The 13112-nt window shown below is 34.6% G+C and overlaps 1 protein-coding gene across 30 annotated transcripts in view, besides 1 other annotated feature; it reads left to right on the top strand.

Moving 5' to 3' along the window:
- Window positions 1-13112, top strand: part of RFX3 (regulatory factor X3) — a 307705-nt gene that overhangs the window by 112183 nt on the left and 182410 nt on the right. The window lies entirely within an intron of this gene.
- Window positions 11257-12788: an enhancer, noted in NCBI's record as "VISTA enhancer hs1350". NCBI's record gives its function as "enhancer in: neural tube[7/8] | hindbrain (rhombencephalon)[7/8] | forebrain[6/8]" and the evidence as "EXISTENCE:transgenic organism evidence [ECO:0001131][PMID:17130149]".

Genomic DNA, 13112 nt, shown 5'->3' with positions numbered 1-13112 from the left:
ATTATTCAAAAAAGCATAAAGGGTTTTTCACTTGCAGCCTTACTAAGAGTTGTCAAGAGAACTGCTACACTGCAGAACTTAGCTTATATTTGCTCCAACTGTCTCTACTCAAAAGGTGTTAAAGCAATGAACTGTTAGGGTGAATTTCACATTCAGGAAGCATTTGTTCCTTGTCTTCAGAGCAAGGAGAAAGAAACAGGGATGAATTCTTTAAAGAAACTGTGTCTAGGATCTGCAGTAGTTTTAGATATTTTTCTTTATTGAGGTTTTTGTATTGTCTTGTTAAGTTAAACTGAAACATGAAAAGAGCATAATCTAAATACTAAAGGTGGGCCATTTAAAAATAAAATAAAAGTGTTCACTTCTTAGCAACTTAAACAAATCATAAGCTATAGTATGATGTTCCTAAAATATTAAACTCCCATATGAAAATAGTTTGATTGTATATCCTTGAGAAGGAACATAAATTACCTAAATTATGAATTGTTTATTAAGTCTTATAGTATTTCATAAAACAATTTATCAAGTAAATTGAATGCACTGAAAGAGTTCTACTTGGTATACATTACAGTATGCTTTAACAAGTATTTTAATATTTTCTTAGGAAGATGCTGATGTTTCTATTTGGGAAATTTGGATTAAAAGCTGGGACTAGTATCCTTAGGAGAATAGGTTGTAACTGAAAAAAAAAAATCGATCTTGCTATAAAATGACAATTTTGTAAAAATTTCTGTTTATTTCTCAAGGAGAGAGGTTTTTTGGTTTTTCCTGTTAAATTGAGAAAATTTTCTATATTAAAGGCTGTGCTTTAACCAATTAAAGAAGTGTGATTTTTAGACTCAATATAAAACATATTAGAATCTTATTTTCTGAAGTAACCCTGTTCTCTATAGTTATTGATTTTTATTCAGCTCACATTAAATAATAAACAGGTTTTCAACATTGGTGGTAGCTTTATTAATATTCAATTTGGAAGAAACATGAATTTACCAGTAGAATTGCCAGCATCAATAATTTTTAAAAGTAAGAAATTTGCAGTTTTTTTCTGGTCATTCAAAGCTAGTTATAAGTTTCCCTTTCTTTCTAAGAATAACTGTAACAGAATTGGTATGCTTAAAAAGTGGACAGAATCCTATTATTTTAAGCCAGGTGATAGCTTTTACTGCAACCATGTTGCATCTCCTGAAACTACCCTAAGCTTCAGGAAATGCCAGCTTCACCCTTTGCACCTTTCTTTTATAAACTTTTACTAACATATTTACCTTAGGAAGATGATATTTTTGTTTAGAGCCCTCTCAAGAAGAAAAAAATAACTAAATGAATTAATATATCTTTATTAAATGGTTTGAAGCCTTTCTTTTACTTCTCTATAGATAATTACTATTTATTTACTTGAAACGAAAATAGCATTATCTTTGAGTCAACTTAAGAGCTCAATTCTATAATTCATAACATTCCTTATAAAATGGTGTGGTAGAGCTTCATTATGGATATTCAAACAGATCATGGCACTAACCATGACTCAAGGTCACCTTGATGGCCTGTCCAACCTTAGAGTCTGTGAGCTTACATTTCTCTGAACATAGATAAAGTAAAGTAATACAACATGATTAGTGTTGACCTTTAGTGGTCTTATTATGAAGTAGTTCTACTGTACTTTGGAAAGTACAAGCCAGGAATACTCAAATCAGATACTGATCTGATTTCACAGTAAGCTTTGTTTTGAGACACTGAATATTTTGGCCATGTGGCTTACGTCTAAGTACTGAAAATAGCTTAGCTGTTATTTTTGATGCCCATAATGTTTAAAATGGTGTGAATATAAGATCCTATGGATAATGTTACGAGTAGTTGTCCAGATGTGTGAAAATAATTTCAAAGAAGAAAATGATACAATTAAGCTGCACTCCTGACTCAGCTTATATATGTAGAGTATTTTGGAGGGGCTGTTGTGTAGCCAGTGTTTGACTATGGGGCTGACTAGGTCCGTATAATTGGAGGTGGAGGAAAGGTAGAGAAGGGAACAAGAGGCCTGCGCAGTGGCTCACACCTGTAATCCCAGCACTTTGGGAGGCCGAGGCAGGAGGATCACTTTAGGTCCAGAGTTCTAGACCAGCCTGGCCAACATGGTGAAATCCCCTCTCTACTAAAAAAAAAAAACACACACACACAAAAATTAGCTGGATGTGGTGTCACACACCTATAATCCCAGCTACTCGGGAGGCTGGGGTGGGAGGATCACTTGAACCCAGGAGGCGGAGGCTTCCCGGGCTGAAACCCTGTCTCTACTAAAAATACAAAAATTAGCCAGTCTGGTGGCGGGTGCCTGTAATCCCAGCTACTTGGGAGAATTCCTTGAACCTGGGAGGTGGAGGTTGCAGTGAGCCGAGATCATGCCACTGCACTTCAGCCTTGGCAACAGAATGAGACCCTGTCTCAAAAAATAAATAAATAAATAAAAAAGAGGAGAGAAAGGAGCAAGGGAGAAAGGGGGAAAGAAAGACACAGAGCGAGGAAGATGGACTGGGTTGCTCTCCTACATTTAAAAAAATTCCATTGCTGTCTTAATTGAAAAAGAATTTATGTATTCATTGTTGAGTAAACCTTATAAGGAAAGGGAATATAATTTTCATATGCAAATAACCTTTCCGTTTTATTTAGAAAACACCGTCCTTATAAATTTGGTTTGTGAGAAAAGTGGCTCCATGGATCATGAGAAGTAATCAGCTCATATTTGTGTGTAATTTTGAATATAATATGTAAATATTAGCTAACTCTTATGGTACAACAAGAATATCATTTCCTTCATAAGCAAGATTACATAGAAAATACCATTTTTGAGTCAGTTATACTGGGAGGTGTTTGCTTCTACCTTGCTTTAATATATTACAGAAATACTGCTTTTATGTAAATTAGGCATGGGTAACTTATGAGCTAGTAAAAACCAATAGTATGCATCAGATGATTAAAGAAATCAAGCGGCGTGGTTGGTTTCAGAGTTACATTTGTACAAAGCAGTTTTTAAATCTTTTTAAAAGAATGCATGAACATAATATGTAAAGAGGTAATTGGAAAACATTTTAGCGTAGATAAATAGTACATGTTGTGGAAAGCTTGTAAACCTGCCATCTAAAACTGATTACCCTTACGAGCATTTCATGCTGTTTGACAGTGAAAAGTGCACCTTGTAAAAGCTGTTACACAAACCATTACATTGAAAAGGTTTCCATCTCACACCCCAAAATTACACTTATTTGCTGCAAGTGAAAATTCAGAATTTGTTCCCTGTTTATTTTGGTTGCATTTACTGTTGTGTTGAATTTTGCTTTTTCCCTCTTCCAGGAAAACTAGAAATTAGTCTTTTTGGTTTATTTATTTCAGTATAAATAGAGTCAGTTTGTATATTATAAGTGGCATCCAGAGATGATGTAATAATAAAATTCTGAGCCTGAGACACTCAGAAACTCTGTATAATAATAAAATACTGAGCATGGAACACCAAGATACTCTATGTAAAGTATTTTGGTAGATAGAGAAAAACAAGTTGGCAAGATGGTTCAGAATTCCTATAGAATATAAAGTGCTGTGAACCATTTTAGTTGATAGCGCCACACACACACACACACACACACACACACACACACACACACACACACAGTTTATCTCACTTGAAATCGTGTTAAACACCCTGAAACAGAGCCTTACTCATGTGAGAAAGAGACTTGGAAACGTCTAAGAGAAGCTCTTATTTTAAGATTGCATTCTCCATGTTATATGAGTATTTCTTTCCTTGTGTAGTAAGCACTTTGCGCGTCTGTCAGGCCTTGCTACCTCTGAGTGCCTTCCTCCTTTCTTCTCCTATTAACCATAGCCTATTAGAAAGAGCTTTTGACTGGGAATTGGGAGTCTTGAGTTCTAATACTAGATCTTATACTAATGGATCCATTTGGTTGATTTTTCTCAGTTTCTCTGTGAAATGGGAGCCTGCACTGGATGATCTGAATACTTTTAAGCTTTAAAGGGCTGTGATTTTGGGAAGCAGGCCAATTATCTGAAAACCGATTACTCCTTCACCAAAAGAAAATTTACTGGGTGATCAATTCACTGAATAGATAGTTTTTTTAAAATCAGTTTGCTGAAACATAAATTTGCTGAATGGCCATTTTGTTAAATTTACCAAATACTCTGATTTATCATTTTGTCTAATGACCAGTTTTCTAAATTGTCAACTGCCTGAACTGTGTTTGTATTAACTACATACAAAGTTTATCACAAATGATGCTGCATAGAATAGCTGCAAAAGTTTTTGAAATTTTTAGTGGGAAGTAATTATTAAGTTTTAATTTGATTTTAATTTTTCCATTGCAATTTCAACCCTGATATTTCGCAGTAGAATTATTTAACAGTCTAACGCAGCTGAATGCCAATTTTATCATTGATATTTCAAATACTGAATGCTTTTTAGTTACTTAAAACGGAAGCAACATGTTCATCCAATTCAATTGGTTAACAAGTGTGTGAATTAAGGGAAGTATACAATGTACTTAAGTGGATAGAAAATGTGTTAAAAGAAAGAAATCTTCTATACCATCATTTATACACTTTTTGGCATTCAAAACATTTATAACACTTTGATTTAAAGTAAATAGATTCTGATCCCCAAAAGTTGTTGGCCTAGAAGATAGCAAAATGACAGAATATTACATGGGTAGGCCACAGTGCTGGATTACAACAGTATTTACTTTCACGTAAATTAAAAGCTTGAACCATCAACTTAAATATCGGAGAATTCTTAAAAGATTCTTTGAAACTATTTTATTCAGTACAAGTAGCTGTTAACAATATAAATGGTTAAAAGAAACAAGTTTTGACTGAATGGGTAATTTGTCAAATTGGCCATTTGGCAAAATAAGTTTATTTTTGGCAAAGTAGACCTAGTTTTATCGTACCCGATCACCATCTCTGCCAGGGACGGGGAAAAAGAGGCAGTAGTGGAAGACTACTACTGTATTTGGAGTTAGAACACTTTTTCCTCGGTCACACCCTATAAGCCAAGTTGGAGCCATTTGGAAGGTCTTCTCCCTCTGTGTTTATTTGCGTGTGCATGTGTGATGTACTGTGTGTTCAACTTAAGTTTCGATACCAAAGACCTGTTGTCTGTGTGTGTGGCCATGTGTGCGTGCGTGTGTGTGTGTGTGTGTGTGTGAGAGAGAGAGAGAGAGAGACAGAGACAGAGATAACTCTTACAGCACAGACTTTTTGAAATAGTGAAGTAGTACAATAAAAAGGCCTGGGTGAGACTTGAAAAATTTCTTTTTGCTTTCCTCTGCTTGACCGATCCTTGTAACAAAGTATGTTCTATATAAGCATTTGACTGAAACAACAAAATGAAAAGATCAAGGTATATGCTGAATTACTTGGCATGCACCAAGGAAGGATGGCCCTGTGCTCAAGCAGGAATAGAGATGTTGGTTGTACTGCAGGGTTACCTATGGGATTGCTATGGGGCTTTATTACCCTGAACAGTGTCTTTGGCCTATACAGCCTTCCTTAAAGCTCTACTTCTCAGTTATTGCCCTTGATTGCAGTGCCATTAGGAAGGAGAGTTAAATACCATTTTCTTGCCATTGCTGAATGCAATTTGTGATCAAATGTAAAGGTCAGGGAGCAACAACCCCTGGCACCTGTGCCAGAGGCTCACTGAAACAAGCTCATTGGTGAATGAACGAATTGAGATTGCCCCTTCTTTTGGCGTCTTGAGAAGCTGCAGGCAGTCATTCCTACTCCTTTAGAAGTGGGCGTTATGGTGTGTACCTGAGAGCTCAACTCTGAGATTTCAGAAAGAAAAGATTCTGAAATCACTGTGGCACATTGATTTTTAACATTTTCTGAGCCCTAATTCAAATTCCAACAAGCCTATCTGTATTGATGCTTCAGCAGAGGTAGTGTAGAAACTCTGAATATTCCATGATTCAATCATTTTTATTAGTCTTAGCTGAGATCTACAGAATAGACAGTCAGCTTGTCAGGTACTCTGCATTGCTGGAAATGAAATTAAGATATTTTTTAGAGGATGATCTATCACGGAAAACTATTAACTGGATTAAAAAATTATAGCATATCTAATTCCCATAATATAGAAGAATGAAAACAGAAAAGACTCTAGACAGGACTACATAATAGTTGGTGTGTTAAACATCTAAATTGTTGTCATATTATTAGCCTAATACTGCATATGGCTAGGTTAAAAAAACAATGAAACAACATGTTGCTCCTTGACTTAGTAGGTGATATAGCATATTCAAGTTCTCACTCTGCCTATTTCTAGTTATATGAAGTTATATGACCTTGGTGCTGATGGAATTATTTAAGTTCTATCAATTATTAAATAATTAAATATTTAATTATTTAAGTTATGCCTCAGTTTTCTCATCCATAATAAATGGGATAATAATAGTACCTACATCAGGATTTCTGTACAGATGAAATAATGTATGTGAAGTCCTTACATAAATGTGTTAACTAATTAGTAACTAGAGGCTTCTTAGAATACCTTTTTTTGGTAGAAAGTTTCAATGATTATTAAGAGAACATAGAAGAATATCAGTTGAATGTTACCAAGCTCAAATAAATTTCAAGTGGTTAATTAACGATGAAGTCAGAACAATTACTATTAGGCTAATTACTTATTCTTAGCATTTCAGCTATGAAAATTAACGATATCTGAGTGCTTCTGTCTCATAAAAACAAAGGAAGCATACCAGGCCACTTATTCTAAGATGACATGATTAGAGCATTGGATCTGAATCCACAATTCAGCGAATCAGATGTACTTATTAAAACACAGTAAATGATATGTCAGAAGGTTCAGAGCAATAGCTGAAGACTTGATTCGTTCATTTGAGTTTACTTAATCCTTATCTTGTTTCTTTATTTTAAAAAACTATACACAAAATCTTTTGAGTCTTTTAATTCTTTGAATATGGGAGTTGTTATAAAATTCCATTGTAATAGAAATTGAACATGAAGTCACATTAGAAAATTAAGAAAAAACACAATAATTTGATTAAAAATGTCTGTAATATACAATTATATTTATGTAGAATTTTAAAAAATTGTGTAGAATATGCCTCTGGTGCAGCATATTCTAATAGTAATGTTTCAATAGGGTCTTAAACTCATCTTCTTTGGAGATTGTTCTTTCAACAAATCAAAGATTCTGTGTATATATTGGGCACTGTGGCTACATATGTAAGTGAAAAAGATAAGGATAGTCCATGCATTCATGGAGTTTATAGTCTTGTTGGAGAGACAGTTACACTATAGATGTGATAATTGCTGTGTACTGAGTAAAGATAGTATGCTATAGGAATACCAGGAGGACACTAGATTCGGACTTGTTAAGAGCAAGATGGAAAAGCAGTGGTTGTTTGGGAAGCTATCACGGGAAAGTAGGATTTCTCCTGAGACCTGAAAGACAAAGTGAAGATTAGAGGAGGTAAGAAGGAAAAATTGTTTCAAGCAGAAGAAACTGCCTGTTCAAATGTCCCCAGGGTTGGCCGAGTCAGTGGCTCATGTCTGTAATCCCAGGATTTTGGGAGGCTGAGGCAGGTGGATCACTTGAGTCCAGGACTTTGAGACTAGGGTGGGCAACATGGTGAAACCCTGTCTCTACAAAAAAAATCCAAAAAATTAGCTGTCAGGCGTGGTGGCATGTGCACATGGTCCCAGCTACTAAGGAGGCTGAGATGGGAGGATCACCAGGGACTGGGAGGTTGAGGCTGCAGAGTGAGCCAAGTTTGTGCCACTGCACTGCAGCCTGGGCAACAGAGTGAGACCTTGTCTCAAAAAAAAACAAAACAAGACAAAAAACCAAATGCCCCAGGTTTGGGGAACTGTGGGTAGTTCCATAAGGCTGGATTGTATATAAACTTGGGGAGACAGTAGGCAGGAGCTATATTCTAAAGAGCCTCCTAAGCCTTGTTAAGTAAGGGTTTGCAGTTTATCCTGAGGGCACTGAGAACCTATTATAGGTAGTGGCCTGAACTCTAGGGATCTGTGTGGCGAGATATAGATATGTGGGTGTATTTTTGAGATATAATTAGGAAGCAGACTCAGTAATTTATTAAATTTGGAAGATGAGAGAAAAAAAGAAATCTGGCTCTTACTTTTAGCTTCTTTGAGAAAAAAGGATGCCAAGATGACTGGATCCCAAGATTACCACTTTTATCTTATGCCGTCAGTAGAATTTGAATTCATTGAGGGCAGACTGTGTATTCCCCAAGGCATGTAACAGCAGTTATTGGCAGAAAGTTTAATAGAAAAGATGAAAATCTAAATTGAATTTTGATGATTTCATGTGAACAGGTGGACTTGTAATGATGATAGTCTATTTAAAGAGATTCAATGGGTAGTTAAAAATCTAGAACTGTAGCTCAATAGAAGGAAGGATTATTGACTAGAGTTACAGATTTGGGAATTATTCACATATGGATAATAGTTATTAGTGGCTAAACTCTTTAAAACAGAGTTTTAAAAACAGAGTGTTGTTGAGAGAGCAGAAAAACACCCCAGCTCAACTCTTTTTTGTTTGTTTGTTTGTTTTGGTTTTTTTTTCTGTTCAAAGGGACGCAATTAAACTTCTGAGGCAAACAGAAAGATTGGCCAGACAGGTAGGAAGAAAACCGGAAAAAATGAATGTCTTGGAAGGCAAGGAGGAAGCTTTTTGATAAAAGAGATTGTCATTAATTTCAAGTGTAATTTGATAGTACAATGAGTGTGAAAAATAAGAAAAGGTCATAGAATTTGCAGATTAAAAGATTGTTCCTTAGTGACTTTGGAAAAGTTGATCTTCTCTTGGAGGGATGTGGCAGAAACTAAATAACAAAGTGTCAGCAGTTGAGTAGAATGGGCAGAAATGAAGACAGTGACTGTAGATAACTCTTCTGAACAAGTTTGGTGGTGAAAGAAGTGATTGGGATGTTACACTTAATGTATTATCAAGGAAAAAGAAGAGTTTTTTTCCCCATTTTAGTCTCCATCGAAGACCACCAAAGTTTGAGAGAGATGACAATGAAACTTATTACATGAAATTTCACACTTATCTAAAATATTATATAATGACAACTATATTTTTGTAAGGAATTTACAGTTGATTTTGAGCATTATAATAAACCTAGTTAAGGATATTAACTAAAGATTTATGAGATAGCCTAGGATAACCAACTTTAGATAATATAGCTATATAGTAAGGAGATTTTAAAGGAATTATTGTTTCTGGAGGCAAGAAAATGCTTCATACCAAATTGGAAGGACAGCCATCCATGGAGTGCATCACCAGTTCCCATAGATAAGTACCAGTGGAACTGTTTGTAATTCAGTATAGATGACTTATTTGAAATTTTACTGATTTTTACAGAGAAATAATTTTTCTGTTAAGTATCCGAATTTACAGTATTGGCTATAGTCTTTAATCTGTTTACATTTTTCTCCTTTGGCCAAGTCTTTATTCCAAGTGTATATACATATACATATAATGAAAATCAATGTAAAAATTTAATAGCATTATGTTTTACAGCAAGTGTTTTCAGAATTTATGTGTATATGAATATATAGAGGTTTTTTTGAGGTCCACCTACACCCATGTTCACTACATTTGCCAGAATGGCAGTAATGAGAATTCAGTTCTTTAAGATATTGTACATTTAAAATGGGGTATATTGTTTCTATTATTAGCAATGTTATTATACAGTATTATTTTCCTCTTTTAGATGTGTTGATCTCTTTGAGTCTGTCATTAGAATAGTTAGGAACTGCAAAAGACTCTATTCTGCACTTTTATTAAAAGAAAAAGAGATGAGAGAAAAAAATTCTTGTGTAGGCAAGATAATCTAGAGGAACACTGTCATTGGAGTCTTTTCTGATGTGAAGAAAATTAAGAATTTCTGTTCTGGCTGTCACTCCCTGTAAAATCTAAAGGAAACTCTGTTTGGTGCAGTACTACCTGCTCGTTTCTTTTGTGGCTCTGTAAATAATGCTGCCTTTTAAGCCAATCTTTGCCTCCCTTTGCTCCTGTCCTGTATGTCTTTCCAGCAGTTTGGCTTCAGTGTTAAGGGATTGTTTTATTTTAGTTTTTGGTAATTAGTCCTTTAAGATAAAAATTACAGTAATTTCATTTCTTTCTTTAAGTAATAGTTTTTCATAATCTATTCTGAGTCAAGGAAAGAATTAGTTAAGAGAACACCTTTGAAAAGTGAAAAAAGTTACTCAGCCAACCTGTATATGTTACCAGTGTGCTGATTAATCATCTTCAGCATTAATCACTGTCATCAGTTATCACAGGAAGATGACTGCTGAACAGTCTACACTATTATCATTCCTTCATTTTTCTACAGATCAATTTAGTACAAAGATTTATTGTACACAGTCATGAGGATTACAACATCAAACCTAAATAAAGAGGCAGCGTTTTTATAATACAGAAAATCATGACTTTTTTTACATTCCTCATTTACTTGATTTATTGATTTGATAAAGCCCTGTGTTTTACAATGAATAAATTTTTCACAAAGATGTGTTTTAAATAAAGAAAGGTTGGTGTTTGACAACAGTTTATAGCTTAACTAGTTTTTTCATTTGTACTGGGTGAAGGCGGAAGAAAGCCAAGTGTTTTATATTCGTAGGTGAAGCAATCAGCTCAATATATTTTTTGTCAGAGTTTTAAGAAATTAAATTTAGTACCTGACTATTTAAACATATATTTAAATGTAGTACGTGACTAAACATATGTTTAAAATACATATATATGTGTAACATATATATGCATTAATAATTTCTACTATGCCCCATCATTGTACATCGTCTTTCTAGAAGATGCCTAATGTCCTTAGGTGTTTTTTTGTTGTTGTTAGAGTTATCTTAATATTGTTCATTATCTACTCCAGAATAGCTGGAATTGTGTACATTTTGTACTAAATTTATGTTAAATGTCAGTAATTTCCTCCCCAAAAGCACTGCTCATTTTAGTTGTCTTAATTTTAATAGAAATCTTAATTGCTATAGACACTATATATGCTACTATTATTTTCCAGCATTTATTTAGGAATGCTGATGCTGAATGAGAGCATTAGTAATAAAAGTATTAAATATAAATATATATAAATATAAATGCTGCAGAACTTCAATTACAATAATTTTGGTTCTATGTTTTAAAAATAGTAATTTTCACCTGCAAAACATTTATTTTTTTCTGTAAATGGCATTTCTGTGATCTTATGTTGAATCAGGTTTCTAATGCTCTTGTAAATAAGTTATTCTTGAATATGGTCACATTTTAGATGTCGTTTATTTTTACTATACCCATTAAGTAACTATCATAATAATTTTGGTTAATTCGGTTCAAGTAGGAATTGGAACTAGCACCTTTTGTCTTTCTATGCTAAGGATAAAGGAAGGAAATTCTCTGTTGAGCTTGAAAATTAAATTACAGGTCTTTGTTTTCTGTACTGAATTTAAACCTGTTACATTCCTCAGTGTTAAAAATAATACAGTAAGTGTAGTGGAACCAAACTTTGCAGACTTTGGTCTTTAGGAGAGCAAATTATTTCAGGATGAAAGACCCCAATAAAAATTAGGTGGATACTACCTATTTTTAAGCTAGCCCAGTAACATAGTTCTGTTTGATAAGTAATTGATTAGGTCAGACTATTAATCCATTTAATCTGGCATGTACATTGTGAGTGATAAAAGGAATCCAACTGTGAATTTGAGTGTATTAAATAATCTTCAGGAAGTTCCACAAAAAACATTTGAATGCCTTAAAACTTGCAATAATGCATGTTTGTTCCAAACACATTTGCTTTGCCTAGGTTTTACCCATCAGGTTGAAGAAATGCTAATCTTGTTCCATTCAGCATCTGGGTTTTTGCAATATCTTTTCCTTCTCGTAGGGGTTAATTAGCCTTCTTTCAAAATGTGGCCTATTTAGCTGTAGATTCGCATGATTCAGCCAGAGCTGGCTGTACAAAGAAGAACCGTTAACAGGCGGGTGTGTCCAACTGCTTAATTAGCCAGAATAAAAAGGTCCTTTGTCAAACAAGCATCTGTTGCTCATGACACACCTGACAGACACATTAGGCGAGGATGACTAGACTGAAATTGTGCATGTCTCTCCTGTAAGAATATACAACTCATTTACATATGGGCTGCATCATTGACAAACTGCAGGGGTTTATTTAGCTTATCAAAATGGATTAATGTGACGGCATTTGTGACTGATAAACAAATATCACTTGAAAGAAGGCTGTGAAGGAACTAAACTAACCAAATTACTCCCAAACATAAACAAAACACCAGAAACCACTGCTGGATGAATGGGAACACCTCAAATATACTCATAAGCTATTATGCTGGGAGTAAAACAAAACCTAAAATGGAGCATGCTAGGGCACTGCTCTCATGTGATGATCCTTACTTTGCAGAAATGTTGGAAGCCTACCAGAATACTATGAATGTGTCAGTGGGCTTAAATGATCTGTTTAGCAAAATTTGGCGGGAGGGTTATATTCCTCAAACATGCTTTAACATTCTAATTAATCTGCTGTTTTTATCAGGTCTTCAGAATTAATCACTAAAAATGCCTCTGGAAAAATACGTATTAGTTGGGTTTTATGGTCTCTGTTGAAAGAGAAGAAATACTTCCTAACTTTGGTGTCAGAGAGAGGGGATGTCTTTCTGTTGTTGTTGGAAGTGTAAATCATGTAATATCGATTGAGAACCCCAAAGATTGCTGTCTAGACCAACAGTCTCTAGCTTTTCTTTGGAAGCCCTATCATCATGATATTGCAAAGCAGTGTATGTACTGGTTGACATCATGTGCTTTAGAGTCAGACAGACATCAAGTGAATTCAGGCTTTTTCTCTTACTAGTTGTGTGGCTTTTGGCAAGTTATTTAATCCATTTGTGCCTCAGTTTCTTTATTTGTTAAATGGGGATAACACCTCCATCAGGGGGTTCTTCTGAAGATTGAACTAGAAAATGTATTTAAAGCACTTAGTGTAGTGCCTGGCACCAGGAAAAAACTATTACATGAGAGGCCAAATTATGAACTTTTC

The sequence above is a fragment of the Homo sapiens genome, chromosome 9 (genome assembly GCF_000001405.40).
Source record: "Homo sapiens chromosome 9, GRCh38.p14 Primary Assembly".
Lineage (NCBI taxonomy): Eukaryota > Metazoa > Chordata > Mammalia > Primates > Hominidae > Homo > Homo sapiens.
Note: the sequence above shows the minus strand (reverse complement) of the source record. Positions and strands in the feature narration are given on the sequence as shown.